Source organism: Homo sapiens, chromosome 10, assembly GCF_000001405.40.
Source record: "Homo sapiens chromosome 10, GRCh38.p14 Primary Assembly".
In the NCBI taxonomy this organism is placed as follows: domain Eukaryota; kingdom Metazoa; phylum Chordata; class Mammalia; order Primates; family Hominidae; genus Homo; species Homo sapiens.
Window position 1 is genome coordinate 7,030,245 of NC_000010.11, and position 20,381 is coordinate 7,050,625.

At 43.0% G+C, this 20,381-nt stretch overlaps 1 long non-coding RNA gene across 1 annotated transcript in view, besides 1 other annotated feature; it reads right to left on the bottom strand.

Annotated features, from left to right (window-relative positions):
• Positions 1 to 20,381, bottom strand: part of LOC105376387 (uncharacterized) — a 294,200-nt gene that overhangs the window by 205,975 nt on the left and 67,844 nt on the right. The window lies entirely within an intron of this gene.
• Positions 14,243 to 14,412: an enhancer, noted in NCBI's record as "experimental_16971 CRE fragment used in MPRA reporter constructs". NCBI's record gives its function as "activates a minimal promoter by MPRAs in K562 erythroleukemia cells, with activity observed for both the introgressed and non-introgressed 10:7086534 variant alleles {active_cell/tissue: K562}" and the evidence as "EXISTENCE:reporter gene assay evidence [ECO:0000049][PMID:34662402]".

Below are 20,381 nucleotides of genomic sequence, written 5' to 3' on the forward strand. Positions count from 1 at the left end.
TCTAGAGTTGTTGCCAAAACCCACAGTCATGAAGCCAATTATGAAAAGCAGAGCCTGTTCATTTTGTTAGTAACTGAAATAGAAACAATTATTTACTAGTACATGTAACAGTCATTTTCAGCCACAAAAGATCATTTTAGCAAGTACATGTCTTTGGTTTACACCTCTCATTACAAGCTAGAGAAGCAATGAAGTTAAACGGAAATGGGTTAGTTTCTTAACAGTTGCTCCTCTTCTTGAAGGTAAAAGTATTTTTCAGACAGAGGCTGTATTAGTCCATTTTTACACTGCTATAAAGATACTACCTGAGACTGGGTAATCTATAAAGAAAAGAGGTTTAATTGACTCACAGTTCTGCATGACTGGGGTGGCCTCAGGAAGCCTACAATCATGGCAGAAGGGGAAGGGGAAGCAAAGCACATCTTACATGGAAGCAGGCAAGAGAGAGAGAAGGGGGATGTGCCAGACATTTATCAAACAACCAGATCTTCTGAGAACCCACTCACTATCATGAGAACAGCATGGAGGAAACCGCCCCCATGATTCAATTACCTCCCACCAGGTCCCTCCATCGATACGTGGGGATTACAATTTGGATTACAATTCAAAATGAGATTTGGATAGGGACACAGCCAAACCATATCAGAGGCTAAAATTTTACCCTGCAGATTGGAGATGGAGCCAACCTAGATAAATGTTTAGCAGACCAGCCTCCATAGGGAAAAGATTTGCCACTCTCTATTCTGGGAAGAAGCACCAAACTCCATGGCTTTAGAACTGCAGCCCACCATGGGGTGAGGAGAGACCAAGAGGCCTACCAGGCTTTCCTGGAACTAGGAAAGTAAACCCCTTGCATCGATTGTCTTCTATCCCAGCTATGGAAGGTGCCCATTACAAATCACTGACCCAGAGAATCTGATGGATGCAGGGGGGGTTTAGATAGTATGCTGCCTGCTAGACAGTGGAAGCCCGGTTAAAGGAATAAATTCAACTTCAAAAATCTTTGGGGAGCACCGCTATGCACATCGGTGCAGAATATTTTCTTCCTCTTGATGCATGAGAGAGCACATTGAGAAATTATGGACACAGGAGGAAAAAGAGCAAATGCCATGAGCCTCAGTCTCAATTCTGTCATTTACAAACAGTGACCACAGGCAATGTGCTTTGCCTCTGTGTGCCTCAGTTTACTCATCTGTGAACAGTTTGAGGTAAGAGTACCTCTAGCTTTTACATTCTGCAAGTATATGGCTGACAATCTTGAAGCCAGAAAGGGAAATTCAAGCTGATAATGTGAGATTTTCTTCAGTGCATTCCTAGAAAGTAAGAGTCGAAAATGTTTTGCTTGGGAAAAGGAAGGAAATTGCTTTCTATCACTTAAGAAGACAATTGTAGATCAACATAGTTGTGTCTCACATGTTAACTGTTATGTGACTATGAAGAGAACATGTCTTCTAGTTGGTTGATAAGAAAACTGGACTTTGGCCTGGCACAGTGGCTCTGCTTGTAACCCCAGCACTTTGGGAGACCGAGGTAGGCATATCGCTTAGGGACAAAGGTTTGAGACCAGCCTGGCGAAACCCTGTCTGTACTAAAAATACAAAAAATTAGCTGGGCATTGTGGCACATGCCTGTTATCCTAGCTACTCGGGAGGCTAAGGCACAAGAATCGCTTGAACCCAGGAGGCTGTGGAGGATGCAATGAGCCAAGATTGCACCACTGCACTCCAGCCTGGGTGACAGAACAAGACACTGTCTCAAAAAAAAAAAAAAAAAAAAAAAAAAAAACCTGGACTTCAAAGCTCCAACGTAGTGATTTTCAGGAAGAAAAAAGTACTAAATATATAATCAGGATAAAACTCACCCTAAATAGCACCCGAAAGTGTGTTTGATTTCATTAGTCATTAGAGAAATGCAAATCAAAACTACAGTGCAGTACCACCACACAGCCGCTAGGATGGCTACTATTAAAAAAAAAAGCAACAAGTATTGACAAGGATGTGAAGAAATTGGAACCCTGTGCACCATTGATAGGAAAGTAAAATGGTGCAGCCTCTGTAGAAAACGCATGGCAGCTCCTCAAACAATTCAACATAGAATTAACATGTGATCCAACAATTATTCTTCTGGGAATATGCCCTGAAGAATTGAAAGCAGCATTTCAAAGAGATAGTTGTATACCCATGTTCATAGTAGCAGCATTCACAATAGCTAAACTGTAGAAGCAACCCAAGTGTCCATCAACAGATTAATGGATTAGCAAAAATGATATGTATATAGAGTAGCATAGAATTTAGTCTGAGAAATGAATAACATTCTGACACGTGCTACAATACAGATGACCCCTGAGGACATTATGCTAAGTGAAATGAGCCAATCACAAAAAGACAAATACTGTATAATTTCATGTATATGAGATACCAAGAATAGCAAGTTCATGGAGACAGAAAGTACAACGGTGGATGTTAGGGGCTAAGGGAGGGAGAAAAGGGTGGTTGTTGTTTAATGGGTACAGAGTTTCAGTTTTTTAAGATGAGAAAGTTCTGGAGATGGATGGTGGTGATGGCTGCACACAATGTGAATGTACTTAATACCACCGAATGGTACACTTACAAATGGTTAAGACAGTAAATTTTATGTTATGCGTATTTTATTGCAGTTGTTTTAAAAGAAGACTCAGTCCAATCCAATAATTTCATAGTTTCTTTAGGTAGTATCCATAATGTTCTGATACTTCAGATAGCCACCCACTATTCTTGCTTCTTCTCCTAAAATCTAGTCTGGAAATGTGGTGGGAAGAGAGAGTCACCTATGGGAAAGAGTCAATCTCTTTCAGAATAACATCATATCCTTCCTCTGGTCTCTGAGATGGAGTCTTATTTTGACAAAGATATTGCTCTCCCTCTTACAGGATGTGGCCAGTCAGTATGACCTGATCTAAGCCTGCTACACTTAGTACTGTGGCCACATTGTACTTACTGGTACAGATCTCCGACCTGCCATATTTTGTCTGCAGCCTGTTGGCCTGGTCTTGTCATGCTACAGTGAGCCCCACAGCAAGCCTGTTGGCTCCTAACTCAGAATCCATGTGATGTAAGAACTAAGGAGACTCCAAAAAGCAAAGCCTGGGAACCTCCCTTCACCTGATTGCTGTAATAACCTGGCATACTTTGATGAGGCTGCAACTGGGTTAATGTGGGGGAACCTTGCCCTACATGTTATCATTGTTCCTGAAGGCCTAGACAGGTGATAACTGGAAATAAAGCATGAAACACTTTGTGACAAAGAGGGGAGAAATCTAACTTAATAAAGAAGATATTACAAATTGGGGATGCATCAGCGATAACAATAATCAGATTAGAAGCTACCATCTATTGAGAACCAACTATGGCAGGCACTCTACACTCACAATCTCCTCTAGTTGTCCCTCGAATCCCTCCAGATGGTTATTATTACCTCCATTTTAAACATAGTACTTTGGAAGGTACAGATTACATAGGGAAGTGGAAGAGCCTGGCTTTAAGCTTAGGTTTGTTGGACTTAAAATTCTGGGATCTGTCCATTGAGTCATGGCCAAGATCAGTCATCTATTTTTACTTAACAGTGATTAATTTTGTTAGTCATTCAACCATAGTCTTTGGCAGTGGTCTCTAAACTTTATTGACTACTCACTCATTATTTAAAATAATTTGAGTACATACTACCCAAAATGTGTGTTTTAAAATTTATGTATAGGGCATATGTGCATACATGAAATAATGTACTATATCTGTTACAGAACTTATCCAAAAATAGAAATTTTTAAACTATGAATAACAAAGAATAGAATTTTACTAACTTCTTCCTGAAACCCTAGGCATGATTATGTGAGCTCCATAAAATGGTACACACTCCACCTTGGAGTGTGGTTTATCTGAATAAATAGACATGATCATTGAACATGTTGAAAAATCCAAGTGACAGATTGATTCTCACATGATGCAGAAGTTGGACTTTTGAAAACTGAAACAAAAACATTAAATTGAACCTGTGTCCCTTCCACATACCTCAGATACAGTTTAGTCTGGCAATGTAGGCAAACGTTAAATTGAACCTGTATCCCTTCCACATACCTCAGATACAGTTTAGTCTGGTAATGTAGGCTTCCCCACCTACTGTGCCTCTCTAAAGAAAAGGACCTAATTCAGAAGAGTAGGAAGTTAAGCATTTTTCTGAAATTTAATGAAAGCATAAAGTTAACTATACCCAGTTGCATTTTACAAGGTAAGACTTTTCATTCATAAATGGTAACATAAGCCAAGAATAACTACACAGAGTGTAGCAAAAAGAAACCTGTGATCCATATATCTCATTCTGGAAGGGAAGATGATGCTAGTGCCAAGAATGGCCAAGATGGCATTTGCATAATATAATATAACTCAGGACCATCAGATAATTCACCAGAAATCAGAAGATAGAGGAAGAGACCTTCATTTCTGACCATGACTCTGCCATTGACTAGCTATGCGGTGTTTTACCTCACTTGGTTTTACTTTTTGTCTGAAAAATATAATATCTACCAAAATACTTTAAAAATCCAATGCAAAGAAAAAACAGTTCAAATGTCAGACTTGGCTACCTTAACTTAGGGATGGTGCCCGATTATTCAGTCTCCTGAAGTACCTTCACACGGTGATTACTTGATAATGTTTTGTTGGGCTGACTTTATTTAACTGAATACCAACAGTTATCAAGACTGATAGGGCGTGGATGACACTAACATGCAAGTATTGTGTGCCGGTTGTGATTGAAGCATGGAGGAGTAGCTGGCTCACAGAAGTCCCTTCTGTGGCAGGGTTGTGTGTGTAGGAAGGATGTATTACTTTGTTCTCACATTTCTAATAAAGACATACCTGAGACTACATAATTTATAAAGGGAAGAGGTTTAACTGACTCACAGTTCCACCGTGCTGGGGCGGCCTCAGGAAACTTACAATCATGATGGAAGGCACCTCTTTAGAAGGCAGCAGGAGAGAGAATGAGTGCCTAGCTAAGGGGAAACCCCTTATAAAACCATCAGATCTCATGAGAACTCATTATCATGAGAACAGGATGGGGGAAACCACACCCATGATTCAATTATCTCCACCTAGTCCCTCCTGCGGCGCGTGGGGATTATGGGAACTACAATTCAAGATGAGATTTAGGTGTGAAAACAGCCAATTCTTTCTCCCCACAGATGTGGTGGGGACAAACCGTATCAGATGTATCCAGAAAGAAGAGGAAATTAGACTGCACAAAGAGGAAAGAGAATGAAAGACACAGCTAACAAGGCTCAGACAAACTGAATGCCAACCAGAGTCAGCTCTGGCTGCTTGAGATGGCGAAACGGTCCCTCAACCACACTGTGGCTCTCTCTTGGGTCAGTCTGTGCACAGAGACCTGGGTGTGCAGGTTGGTAGACAGGGGTTCACACAAGCAGACATCGAGGCAGAAGAGGCCACTTTCTCACCCTCGTCCCATACCCCTCCTTCCCTACTCCAAGTTTGAACTGTTTTCAAACTATTTGCCTTCTAGGCAACCTTGATGTCCATTTTAATTTCTTTGCACCTTGCAAAACGTTAATGGTTTTCAAAAAGGCACAGGCCCCATTTGATTTCTCTCTGGAGCTGCTTTCCTCGGATCTGTGCTGTTGCAGCCTTCATTGCAGCCAAGTGATGCTCATTTTCATTTCCACCTCGTGGCATCTGCTTGGCCATATACTTACCCCTCATCTCGGTAAAAACTGGTTACACATGTAATCAAGATTTTGGAGCAAGACCTTTCCCATGTGTCCACAATAGTGGATTGGAGGGGCAATAATGAGAAGGAGATTAGTTGTTCTTTATTATAGCACTGAAGATAAATCAAAGATGGATACATCCGACTGCATCGGAACTATGAAAGTCTGTAAATGAAAAGTCATTAAGACTGTTACAATGAAAGCCACAAAGTGGGGAAAGATAGTTGCAATGTATGCATCTGACTAAAGGCTTGTCTCCAGAATATATGAAGTCAATCCTACAAATAAATCCATGAGAAAGCCATCCCAATCTTTAAAAGTGGGCAAAAGGCTCAAGCCACCAAAAGGCGTTTAACCAAGAAGATATCCAAGTGACCAATATGTGTATTTAAAGGGCCCTTGACATAACTCGCCATCAGAGAAATGCAAACGAAAACCGCAATGAGACACACAGTCGGAATAGCTACACTTGAAATGGCAAACAGTAAAACATTCTGGTGCAAACATGAAGCAGCTAGAGCTCTCACACAGTGCTGATGGGGGTGTAAACTGGTGCAATCAGTTTGCAAATCTGTTTGGCATTTCTAATAAAGCTGAATATACCTTATGATGTGCCTTATGATCCAGCAACTCCACTACTGGGGATAGAAATGTGCATTCGTGCCTCAAGAGGCATACATAAACATGTTGATAGAAATACTATTCACAGTAGGCCAAATCTGGAAACATCTAATGTTCATCACAGGAGAATGAGTGAATAAATTGTAGGATACTCATAAAAGGGACTAATAAGATTTTCAAAAATGCAACCAACTCAGATCCATGCAACCACTTGGAAGAATTTCACAAATATAAAGCTGGATGAAAAAATCAGACAAAGAAGCACATATTCTTTATGATTCCATGTATATGAAGTGTAAAATTAGGTAAAACTACCTGATGGTGATAAAAGTCAGGAGACTTTTAAAAATGGGATCCCATTTATATAGTGTACAAAAATAGGCCCAGCTAAGCTGTGCAGTGAGGAGTAGGGATCCTGGTTACCCTGGTAGGGGTTAGAAACAAAGAAGGAGTACAAGGACTCTCCGAAGTGCTGGTAATGTTTTGCTGGAGATTTTTAAAAATAGGAAGCAGGAAGTGGCCATGACTTGGGAGAGGATCAAGGGGAACTCTAGATGTTGTTAGTTCTCTGTTTTCTTATCTGAGCAGAAGTTATCTTGGTGTTTTTATTTTGTGAAAATTCATGGAGCTGTTTGTGGGCAATGTATGCTTTTTTCTGTATGTATGTCATATTGCAATGAAGAGTTTACTTGTTTTGAACTTCGATGGAAAGCTAATTTGATAGAGCACTTTGATAAGTACCCCAGAGTGATTGCTCTGTGATATGTAGAAACTAATCCCTGTCTTCCTAAAGAGTGACTGGAAGAAGCCATCCCATTACTGGGTATATACCCAAAGGATTATAAATCATGCTGCTATAAAGACACATGCACATGTATGTTTATTGCGGCACTATTCACAATAACAAAGACTTGGCACCAACCCAAATGTCCAACAATGATAGACTGGATTAAGAAAATGTGGCACATATACACCATGGAATACTATGCAGCCATAAAAAAGGATGAGTTCATGTCCTTGGTAGGGACATGGATGAAGCTGGAAACCATCATTCTCAGCAAACTATGGCAAGGACAAAAAACCAAACACTGCATGTTCTCACTCATAGGTGGGAATTGAACAATGAGAACACATGGACACAGGAAGGGGAACATCACACACCGGGGCCTGTTGTGGGATGGGGGAGGGGGGAGGGATAGCATTAGGAGATATACCTAATGTAAATGACGAGTTAATAGGTGCAGCACACAAACATGGCACATGTATACATATGTAACTAACCTGCACGTTGTGCACATGTACCCTAAAACTTAAAGTATAATAAAAAAAAAATAAAAAAAAGAAATCATTAGAAATTGTCAGAAATTAGATTCAAAGATGCTGAAATGTTCCATGACCTGGGAAACTTACTCTGAAAATGATCTGCAACCCTACAGAGGAAAAGGGAGGATGCCTCGGTAACACGACAGCAAAGGCAGAGATAGAGAGGCATCGGTGCAGTCAATGCCATGGGAGAATCATTAATTGATTCCATGCTGGAAAAATCACCTTCATCTTCAGTTCACACGGACAGACCTTAGGAGAGAACCATTCAAGACACCAACCCGTGCCTTTTTAGATCCTGAAAAAACTTTCTGAATATAATGAGTCCCAAAGGGCTCGTCACCTGTGTTTCCAGCACTATACTCTGTATTAGATATTATATCACCACAAGCAACTTTTCATCAGCATTCAGAGCTCAAAATACATGTGCACACCCACACGAAGAAAAAAACATTTATTATGCCCAAGTCTTTATTGTAGTCATTTCATGGGGCCCATTTCCTCTGTGAAACTTCAAATCAATTTCCTTGGGATGCCATTTAAGATGATTCATCCCCATTTTTTTTCCCATTTCTTATTAAAGACCTTAAGCTTTCTGGAACAGAAGGCCTGATTTCCTTGTGCACTCTCTGCCTCTCATTTTCCCTTTTGTTTGTTACATTTTCTTTTCGGGTTTTCTGAGAAGGACCAAAGTGTCTGAAATCTGTTGATGAATCATTTGTTCTCATTGTGTCCTTCCCCACCAAGCCACAGCACACAATACATTTCCAGAAAATCCACTTCCTTCATCCCAGCCCATGTGGCTGCATTGATTCAAAGAAACTCCCCCTCTCTGAGACTCAAGTAGGTGGCTGCAGAAAAGGAATTCTGGGTTTGGTGCCAGTGCCAAGAGGAGACTAAGGAGGGCTTCTCCTATCTCTATCATATACCTCATATTTTGATGTGAGCATCTGGAAATTACTCCACTGTATTGCACTGCAATGGAATAATCTCCAAATTATAGTAGAATAATTTCCAAATTATCATATAATAATTTTCAGGTGCCCATGCTGTCATCAATTCCTTTAAGGCATCCTTTGTATAGAAATTCTGTATTCTTCACTCTATCCAGGTCAACGAGGAATGCCTCGTGGTCTGTTTGACAAGCCTATAAAATAAGTAACACTTACATGATAGGTGTATTAGAGAAATTCTAAACAAAATGCTGGAACAAGTGGGCTTCTCCAGCATTCCTTAGCTCCCCAGTTCTCCATCCTTTTACCCTTCCTACCATCTGTCCCACTGCATGTCCTTGAGAGCTCAGGTCCCTGATAATTCCTCTGTTATGAACTGAATGTTGTGTTCCCCCTCAAAATTCACATGATGAAATCCTAACACCCCTCAATGGGATGATATTATGTGGTAGAGCCTTTGGGAGATGATTAGGTCGTGGAGGTGAAGCCTCTAAGAATAGGATTAGTGCCCTTACAAGAAGAGATGTGAGAGCTTGCCCTCACTCTCTCCCACTCCCCAGGTGAGGACACAGCAAGAAGGCAGCTGTCTGCAAACCAGGAAGAGAGCCCTCACCAGGTCAGATCTTCCAGCATCTTGATCTTGGACTTCCAGCCTCCAGAACTGTGAGAACCAAATTCCCACAGTTTGACCCCTAGTCTGTGGTATTCTGTGATAGCAGCCCAAGCAGACTAAGACATCTCCCTCTAAGGTGTTTATCATCTCAGGATTTTGGGTGCAGACAAGTTTCCTTTTACTGGTTCAATGATTGATTCATTCGTTTTACAAAGATCTATGACGTATCGGTTTTGTGCAGGTCCTAAGCTAGATGCTGGGAATACAATTGTGGGTGCTACAAACACTATCCCTGCTCATAATGTAGAGGGAGAGACAGCCCCTCTCACATCTTCATAAAGACATGTGCAACTCCAGTGATTTCAAGTGATATGAAGTAGCAGATAGATGATGCCACTAAAGCATATTTTTATCTTATTCAGCTAATGCTCACAGGGTACATACAATATACCAGGCACTGTTTCAAGCACTTTTCAAATATTAACTAATTTAATACTCCTAACAACCCTAGGAGGGAAGCATTGCATTGATGCCATTTTACAGATGACAAAACTGAGGCACAGTACATTAAGTTGTTTATAAACACACAGTTGGTGTATGGCAAAGGCAGATTTGGAGCCCATGCAATCTAGTCCTGGGGGTTATATTCTGAACCTCTTGGCTTGTTGCAAAATAATGAGGATATTTACCTAACTATGAGAATCAAAGGAAAGCTTCCCTGAGGAAGTGTGAATGGAGCTGAGACAAGAAAGAAGAGGAGATGTTAAAAGTGCATGAGGGTGCGGGTTGGAGGTGTAAGTGTCCTGAGAAAGAAAGAAGGACCGCATAACTGGGCACCTGAGTGCATTTTTAGTAGTTCAAAAGCCAAAAATCTGCCTTACCCTCTATAAACTAACTGCAGTTCTATGTGAATGTTTCTGACCTTTGAAAGAATTATTCAGAAGAGTGGGAACCTGAGAGTAGTGGCCATTACCCCTCTGCCCACCTTCTCCTTGGACTGGCTTGTGTTTGCTTTGTCTCCTTGCCAGCCTTGCTGGGTGCAAACCTCAGAAAGGATGACTTCGATGAGGGTGGCTTACATTTGGGGATTTTTTCTCCTTACAAAAGTAAACACTTATTGCAGCAGTAAGAAAACCATCTCAATAGGCCAGAATAAAAGAGTCTGAGGAATTGGTTGCAGGAAAACTGCTTATTTCACTGATGGTTCACGGCTCTTTTGGTCATTGGTAGTGTCATCATAATCCCTAACATTTTAACTCAAAAGAGGTTCTGCTCCTCAAGACGGGCTAAGTGGCACAGCGGCTGCGCTGGCACACAGCCACAGGTGGGAGGTGGCGAGACAGTGAGGTGCTCTGTATGGCGGGTGGTCCCCTGAGGGAGGTCATGCTTGTCACTCCAACTCATCCAGCCCTGATGGATGGAACTGGGGTGACAGGGTGCTGCTGCGGTGGCGCCCGGGCATCCTATCTCTGTAAGAGCAAGCAGAAGAGTTGAATAATACAAACAGGCTGTGAAAAGTCATCACGGGAGAACGTGTCTGTTACAAAGATGCTGAGCTTGCCCATGCCGCGTTCACAGAGGAGCTCCAGAGTCAGAATGCCTGGCTGGAGTCCTGGTCCTGCCAATCACGGGCCCTGGGACTGTGGAAAAGTTGTTAAACTGTTTGTGTTTCATCTGAAAACTGGAGGAGACAGCATACCTACCTCACAGGGGAGTAAAGGATTCAACGAGTTAATGTGCATGAAGCGCCCCCTCACAGTAAGCACCACGTGAATGGCGGTGACCATCATCATCATCATCAATGCACCTGATGTGAGACCTGGGGAGGGCTTTTCCCCCTCTTCCTTGAGACACCTACCCTTCCGAATCCCATTCTACAGGTCCATGCTTTTGTTCTTCCTCTCTCCTGTTTCCCCATTTTCATCCCCTGACTCCTCTCCATCCCATGCCCACCTTTTCTTCCCGAGCCGAATCCCATTGCATGTGTGAGCGCTAAAGCATCCTTTCTATGTTAAAGTCTGCAGGTGACTGTTACAACCATAGCACACCCACCTTTCTCATCAGTTGCTGTGTTCATTTTCTAGGGCCGTCCTGACAAAGTTCTGTGAATTAAGTGGCTTAAAACAATAAAAATTTTGTTTTCTCACAGTTCTGGAGGCCAGAAGTCCAAAATCAATGCGTTGGCAGGGTTGGTTCCTCCTGAGAGCTGTGAGGGAGAACCTGCCCTGTCCTCTGTCCAGCTTCAGGTGTCACTAGCCAGCCCAGGCATTTTCTAGCATTTAGTGCGTGACTCTCATCTCCATCTCTGTCTTCACTTGACATTCATTTCTGTGTCTCTTCTGTTCTTATAAGGACAGCAGCCATTGTGAGGTGGGAGGCACGGGTCAGACACTGGACCAAATTGAGGACTAGCTAAAACAGGGACCGAGTAGAAGCAGCTTTCCCTAAAACATGCCCACTGGTGTGCATGCCAGTTTACCATTGCCATGGCAACACCCGGGATTCACCACCCCTTTCCATGGCGATGACCTGATAACCCAAAAGTTACCACCTTTTTTTCTAGCAATTTCTGCATAAACTGCCCCTTAATCTAAATATAATTACAAGTAGGTATAAATATGACTGCAAAACTGCCCTGAGCTGCTGCTGTCAGCACACTGCCTGTGGGGTAGCCCTGCCCTGCAGGAGCAGTCATGGAGCTGTAACACTGCTGCCTCAGTAAAGCTGTTTTCTTCCACCTATCGCCAGCTTGCCCTTGAATTCTTTCCTGGCTGAAGCCAAGGGCCCTGATGGGTTAAGCCCCACTTTGGGGCTCGCCTGCCCTGCATCAATTGGATTAGGGTCCACCCTCCTCCACTGTGACCTCATCTTAACTAATTAGATCTGCAAAGACCCTGTTTCCAAATAAGCTCACACTCTGGTGTTCCGGGTGAACATGAATTTAGGGGCCCACTATTCAACCCAGTACAGTTGCCGGAAAGAATATTCTTTTTAGATGTGTTGACCAGACAATCACAGGTCTGGAAGGAGGTGAGAAATCCATGTGCTTTAAGAAACTGCTTCAAAGGAACCTCAGCTGAAGCTGGACTGCCTGGCCCATCTTTCCAATTTGCTTTGCATTCTGAATATGCATCTAGGACTATAAATACATTGGTGATGTGCACATTTTCTGTCTTTTTCTCTGTAAGTGGATGAAATCCCCAATCCTGGCAGAAGCTAGAGACAGAGACAGTAGACCCCTGAATAATCACCACTGTTGGGGTCCTGCCTGCTGAGGAGTGTCAAGCTCATGCCCTGTGCAACAAAAGGCCGCGGACAGAGAAGGGCAGGAGCTTCAGATGTAGAGCATTTCCCCCTCTTGGACAAATGCACAGTTAGATGCTTCGCTGCCCTACAGTGGCCTTATCTTTTGAACTCAGATACTGAGGTTCTTCCAGAGAAAATTGCATTCAGGAGAATTTTAAAGTGCGACAAAAGAAGCATAAGAAGTACAGATGATCTAATCTTAGTGGTCTTCTAGGTGAACTTCAGGGACCTTTCACAGAGGCTGCTCTGGGAGGATTTTAAGCCATCAGAGAATCCAGGAATCAGCTATGACCAGCAGATACTAGAAATACTGCAGTGGGTGCCAAGCAAGCACAGAGCTGGGCTAGAGGGAGGTGGCAGGAGGTAACCCTAGGGAGATGAAGGCCCTTCAATCGACCAGCCCTGCTCTCTAGAGTCCACACCCACTGGGCAGGGGCCAACCTTGTGTCAGAAGCCTGTGTCCAGGGGCCTGCCTGCCCTCCTTCCTGTCTTCCACTTCAAAAATTGTGATTAACACATCCCCAAATGTCTCCACAAGGCCTGTGAGTGTGCCTGTGTGTGTGCAAGTGTACATGAGTTTGTGAGTGTGTATGTGTGTGCATGTGTGTTTGAGTGTGCATGTGAATGTGCCTTTGTGTGTGCAAGTGTGCATGCATGAGCATGTGTGAGTGTGTGTGTGCGCGCATGTGTGTTTGAGTGTGCATGTGTGGGTGACTTTGTGTGGGCAAGTGTGTATGCATAAGCATGTGTGAGAGCTTGTGTGTTCATGTGTGTGTGTGTGAGTGTGTTTGTGAGTGTGCATGCAGTCAGACAGTTTAGGGCTATGCTGTCTTCTATGTCACAGCAAAGATTCTCAAGCAATAATGACACTGGTCATTTGGAAGGCTCCCAGCTGGGTCCTGCCCATTTTCATCCTAATGAAATTGTCATCCAAGCAGCTTTGGCCCAGGTGAGTGCAGAGGTCAAGGGGTGCCTGCTCAGAAGTGAAATTTCCTAAAGAGCTGGTCATCCGAAATATTTTTTTAAAAATTTAAATGCAGTATATCGGGAAGCACACAGGTTCAAAGTCAGTCCGACCTGGGTTTGGAAACCTTCTTCACCATTCATTAGCAGCATGAACGTGGACCAGCCAGTTAACCTCTCACTCTCCCAGTTTCCCTGTCTATAAAATGGCAATCACATTACCTACCTAATGGGGTTATTGTGAAAATTAACAGTGTTTGTACAAAGTACCCAGCTGAGTAACTCCACGGAGATGACTCTCCCTAAAAGGTGGCGTTATTATTTTTGGAGTTTCTGCTTTGATGTCGCCTGTGCTCTCTGGCAGAATCCGTCCGTAAGGAAGTCAGCAGCCTTGTGCACCAACAGCCAACTTCATGGCTCAGCAAGTGACCAGGCATCTGCCCGGGTCCCGGAGGGCAACCCATTGAATGCTGCCCTTGAGTCATCCCCACCAGTGTCCCCAGGCATAGGACATCACAGCCCCAGCAGGCAGAGCTCACGGGAAGCCTGCTGCTCCCAGGGCTTTGGTGTTTTTCCAGAAGAAAAAGGAGGAGGAAATGAAATGGCCTTTCCTCATTTGCTGTGCAGCCCTTTATCCAAGTGTAAATCAAACTCCTCCAACACACACCTGCACAACAGCTTGTAAACTGCAGGAGGGCGTGGAGTTTTTCTGTCTTGTTCTTCAGTATGTCCTTGGTGCCTAGGACAGTGCCTGGCATGGAATAGGGGTCTGAATAGTAATCGTGATAATGATGACAATGCTTACTGGGTAGGTACCGCTTACTATGTGACACACCCTACCCTTATCACTATGTTAATATGATCACATTGAGTAGTGCTCCCCACAGCCTATCAGGGAGGTACTGAGATTATCCTGTTTTCCAGACTAGGAAACAGGCCTAAGGAGGGGAAGGGACTTGCCCAAAGTGAGATTCCCTCTTACTTGCCTCCTGTGTGATTCACTGCTGTTGGCATCACCCCTGAAACTCCAAGCCCCTCACTTTGCCCGAGAAGAGGAGGAGAGTGGAGTGGAGAGGAATCCAGACAAGAAGACTCAAAACTGCTCCTTCTGGGTGACAGAGGGGAGAGAGACAGCCAGAGAAAGAGAGAAAAAGGGGATAATGAGAAAGAGAAAGGGAAGAAAGAACCGTGTTCAGCATCAGCAGGGAAGCGTTGCCTTGGCTCTCCACTGGCAACCACTGGATAAGGAGTGATGATGGCATCCTGACGCATGGGAGAATCCTTGGGGAACTGCCGCATGCAATCACTGAAGCAGGGGATTGTGACATTGCAATGTCTTTCCAGGGAGCTTCAGACTCCTGTCCTCCAGCCACATTTAGTGTTAAGAGCAGGGGCCCCAGTATATATCCCAGAAAGGTGACAACTTTGGCTTCAGAATAACTATAATAATTATAAACAAAATAGTTATAAAACATTAACTTTAGAGATTCCTAGAGCAAGTGGAAAAATCAGGCACCAGAATCTCACATTGAAGAGATACATGCACACAACCTGTCCAGCACAGGATGAGTGTATATCTAAAACTCATCAGAAACCTTTGAGAAATAGTCCTCTAGATTTAAAATACATTTTCCAGAATACTCTGGAGTTCATCCTTTGCCTTTGTCTGGAACATCATGGCAGGCCCCCCCGTACCCTCATTCTCACTGGAACCTCTCTTCCCACTGGTGTTCCTATCTGCATATACACTTGAGGTCACTTCCTCAGATGAAAGCAACAAGCATTTCTTCCCTCCAAAAAATACATGCAAAATTTCTCAGATACTTTCATGAAATTCATAGATCCCCTAAACTTCATTCACATATTCTTCTGTGGTTATGGACCCCCCTCCCAACAAAAAAACAATTCTATAAGTGGCCTTGTATAAATAAAATATCAGCAACAAACATAAATGAAACCTCCAAGAAGTACCTTGGGTTATTCTGCCAACGTCACACAAATCTCTTCTATAACTTGGCCTAAAGACCTCAACACCCACGTACTGACATTCTTGAGTTTGACCGTTAAAATAATCTAGTACAATCTAGTTGCTCCTTAAGGAAGAGATGTATTACTTGCTGGGGCCTCAGAAATCCCAATCCTGGTCTAAGGGAACTTTCTGTTGAATGCCGATTCCAACTGTCTATTGGAAAATGGCTCAAAGGAGCATTTGACAGAGTCAGAGCCCCTCTGAAATGCCACACAGTCTGTGCCTTCCAGAGATCCAGCCCCTGCATCCTGAGGCTAAGCCACCTACCCAAGCCGACCTTGGTTACAGTATGCACTGGACAGTCCTCTAATTCAGGAACAGGTTTTGTGGAAGCCTGTAATTCTACTCTTTTCCTAATCCCTGTAAAATTAATCCAGACATTTCCACACTTCCCTAAAGCTCTACCCACCCTCTCAAGTGTAGCTCTCTAGGGAAGCTCTTATAGCCTTTTGTTTGCTCAATAGACTTAAGCCACTTCACTATTGCTTTGCAAAACTCATCAACCGAGGGTTTGGTCATCAACTGAGGGTTTGGTCTGCAACTCGTTCTACTTGTATTTTGGTTCTTAGGTGTGAAGAGCTTTTGCAACTTGCTAGGCCTCCTGACCTTCCCTTCCTCTTTCCTGGCCTACTTTGCAACTTGTGGTGAGTCCTTCCTACCTCCCCACATGCTCTATGGTTTCCTGAAACCTTCACCACACTTCAGCTAAGCAGTCATTCTTAATTCCACTTCCCCTTATACCTCCATACTTAAATACATATACATATTATATTAAATATATAACATGAACTTGTTAACAAAAGAAAAGCAATCAACTAGTGCATTGCTCCATCTCCATTCTCTAATAATTCTCTAATTCTTGAGATCCATGCCAATCTTCACGTATCTAATGCACATGTTTGACTGCATAGAGTATGTGGTTGATTCAGTCAATAGGCAGTCTTTCTGGCTGTCTGTCCTTCACTTAAGTGTCATGTTTTTGTGCTTTGGTTTCAGAACGATGCCTCTCATGGTGCTTATCATCTGAGATGACTCTGCCAGTGGCAGAAAATAGAAGAGTTTTGGTCTACTGGTAGGTTGGTTTGTAGGTTGGCTGACTTTAGCTACTGAACCAAGAAAAATATCTTGGGGAATCTACTGATTCTGCTACACATTAGTGTTGTTCATTGTGAAGCCCCTGGCTGGGGGAGGGGTCACACAAGGAGGTGCTCATGTTTGTGGGACCCTCACACAGCGTTCCCAAATGAGGCCACCAGGGACTGATCTGTGCTGGTGTCTGCTCTCCTTGCTGTTTTCATTGGAGTCAAAAGTTGTAAAATCTTTCTCTAGTTGCTAAACTAAAATTGTGGCCATGTCCAAAACCCCATATAAACCCAGACTTGTCACTTTCCTCAGTGCTAGAATAGAAGCAAGCAAAAAAGAAAAAGAAGCAAGAAAGAAATATTATCTCCAATATCCCCAGCCACCAACTGAATTTATGTGGCAACCAGCAATAGCAATTAAAAGGGAGAAAATGACAAGAAAGCCATTTTTCTTATTTACAGCTCGAACTCTAAACCCAGTATTTCCTCTGGTTCTTGATCTACTCTTTCTAGGTGAAGTCTTTTTCTTCAAACTCAGCTGCAGAGGTTGAGGAGAATAGTCTTGGGGTTGGTTTTTGGAGCTCAATTGCTTCCTAAGACTAGTGTATTTCTACACTTGCACTTTGGAGAAAAGCAACTGCTGTTCTTTGGGCTCCTTGTACCTATTACATAACCTTGAACAAATCATTGGTTCCTACGGTCTTCCTCAATTTGTCCCTCTGAACGCTGGGTCAAATGAAATATTTCTTATTTTCAGGGGCTTCAGGGGCCACCAGAAGGATGGTGTATTAGTCTGTTTTCATACTGCTGATAAAGATATACCAGAGACTGGGAAGAAAAAGAGGTTTAATGAACTCCCAGTTCCATGTGGCTGCACAATCATGGCAGAAGGTGAAAGGCACTTCTTATATGGCAGTGGCAAGGGAGAAGAATGAGAGCGAAATAAAAGCAGAAACCCCTTAAAACCATCAGATCTTGTGAGATTTATTCACTACCACAAGAACAGTATGGGGGAAACTTCCCCCATGATTCCATTATCTCCCACTGGGTCCCTCCCACAACATGTGGGAATTATGGGAACTACAATTCAAGATGAGATTTGGGTGGGGACACAGAGCCAAACCATATCAGATGGTGAGTAAATGAAGATATAGTAGTACCATTAAATGAAGTGTATTTCCTCTCCTTCAAGACTACCAAATCAGTAATGCCATCCTGAGAAGGATTAATCTGCTCTTTATTTTACCACTCGAAGATGAAAAGAGCAAAATTAAGTACAACATTAAAATTAGAATCCTCTGTTTAGAGAAGCTTCAGTTACTTCCACGAACCAGGCCATTAAGTATACGGCACCGAGCTGCTTCCTGATGATAACAGCAGGATGAAGCCAGCAGGAGGCCGTGGGTGAAGGATGGTACTTAGGTGTCTGTTTGGGTCTGTAGTAATCTCAGATAGAGTGTATTGTAAGACAAAACATTTAATGTATTATTTCCTATGACCAAGGATGAGTTTTCCCAGCAACGATTGCATCCCTGGAAGCTGAAGTCATTGTAGTCTAAACATAAAATGGCACAAACGAATCAGCTTCTGGGCTATAAAGAAAATAGAGTAAGTTTTGTAAGCACAACAGATTGTTTGGAAAATAAAGAAAGAAACATGTGTTTCCCAGGTTTTACGAAGCCCTATAGCCTACTTACAGGGCCATTGATGTCCAGTCATGTGTCATTTAATGGCAGGAATACATTCTGAGAAATGCGTTATTAGGTGATTTTGTTATGCGAACCATAGGGTGAATTTACACAAACCTAGATGGTAGAGCCTACTGCACACTGGGGCTGTATGGCATAGCCCATTGCTCCTAGGCTACAAAAAACTACACCATGCAACTGCTCTGAAAGCTGTAGGCAATTGTAACACAATGGCAAGTATCTGTGTATCAAAACCTGTGTAAACATAGAAAATGTACAGTAAGAACATGGTATAGAAGATAAAAAGCCCAGGCATGGTGGCTCACGCCTGTAATCCCAACAATTTGGAGGCTGAGGTGGGCAGATCGCTTGAGCCCAGGGGTTCGAGACCAGCCTAGGTGGGCAACATGGTGAAACCCCGTCTCTACTAAAAAAAAAAAAACAAAAATTAGCCGGGCACGTTGGCTCACGCCTGTAATCCTGGCAACTTTGGGAGGCCAAGGTGGGCGGATCATTAGGTCAGGAGATTGAGACCATCTTGGCTAACACAGTGAAACCCCATCTCTACTAAAAATACAAAAAATGAGCCGGGCATGGTGGCAGGCATCTGTAGTCCTAGTTACTTGGGAGGCTGAGGCAGGAGAATCACTTGAACCTGGGAGGTGGAGCTTGCAGTGAGCTGAGATCACGCCACTGCACTCCAGCCTGGGCAATAGTGCGAGACTCTGTCTCAAAAAAAAAAAAAACTTACAAACATTAGCCAGGTGTGGTGGTGCATGCCTGTAGTCCCAGCTACTCAGAAGGCTTGAGGTGAGAGGATCACCTGAGCCCTGGAGGTCAAGGCTGCAGAGAGATGTAATCATGCCACTGCACTCCAGCTTGGATGACAGAGTGAGACTGTCTCAAAAAAAAAAAAAAAAAAGATAAAAAGTGATACAGTTGTATAGGGGACTTCCCATGAATGGGGCTGGCGGGAATGGAAATTGCGGAAGTTGCTTTTGATGAGCCAATGAGTGGTAAGTAAATGTGAAGGCCTAGGACATTACTGTACACTTTTATACGATTGGCAGTGCAGTAGGTTTGTTTATACCAGTATCCCCACAAACACATTGTGCTATGACATTAGGCAATAGGAATTTTTCAGCTCCATTATAGTCTTATGGGACCCCCATCGTATACACCATCCATCATTGACTGAAACATCCTGATTTGCCACATGACTGTATTAACTTTTAGTGATTGAATCCAAACCTGGGCTTTTTCAGCCTCTGTCTATTACCTTGAGCAGATAGACTTTGTTCCTAAACAATATCAGTTCTTGCAATGTTGGGAAAACTTACAAAAATATCTTTGAAAATCCTCTTAATACACATGTAGGGTGACATTCCACAGCCAGAAGGATCAGGTGAGCTGATGGACTGACACTCCAAGGACAAACTTACTCTGCAGTTTATTTTAGAACTCAGCTGGTAATATGGTTTGGCTGTGTCCCCACCCAAATCTCATCTTGAATTCCCACATGTTGTGAAAGGGACCCAGTGGGAGGTAATTGAATCAAAGGGGCAGGTATTTCCCTTGCTGTTCTCATGATAGGGAGTAAGTCTCACGAGATCTGACGGTTATCATAAGAGGGAGTTTTCCTGCACAAGCTCTCTCTGTCTCTGCTTGCTGCTATCCATGTAAGACATGACTTGCTCCTCCTTGCCTTCTACCATGATTGTGAGGCCTCTCCAGCCATGTGGAACTGTAAGTCTAGTTAAACCTCTGTCTTTTGTAAACTGCCCAGTCTCAGGTATGTCTTTACCCATAGTGTGAAAGCGGACTAATACACCTGGAATCTCAGCTTTGTTTTTTATGCTTTAAAAGAGTTATACCACCTGAACTCTCATTTGTCTAAATTAGGACAAGTTCAGCCATTTCAAAGAACACTGACCTACCACATTTCACTGAATAAGATACAAAGATTATTACCTGTATATTTAACTTTTAATCTAGGCTTTCTGGCATCAAAGTGGATTAAACCCAGTTTACTAAGGACCCACCCC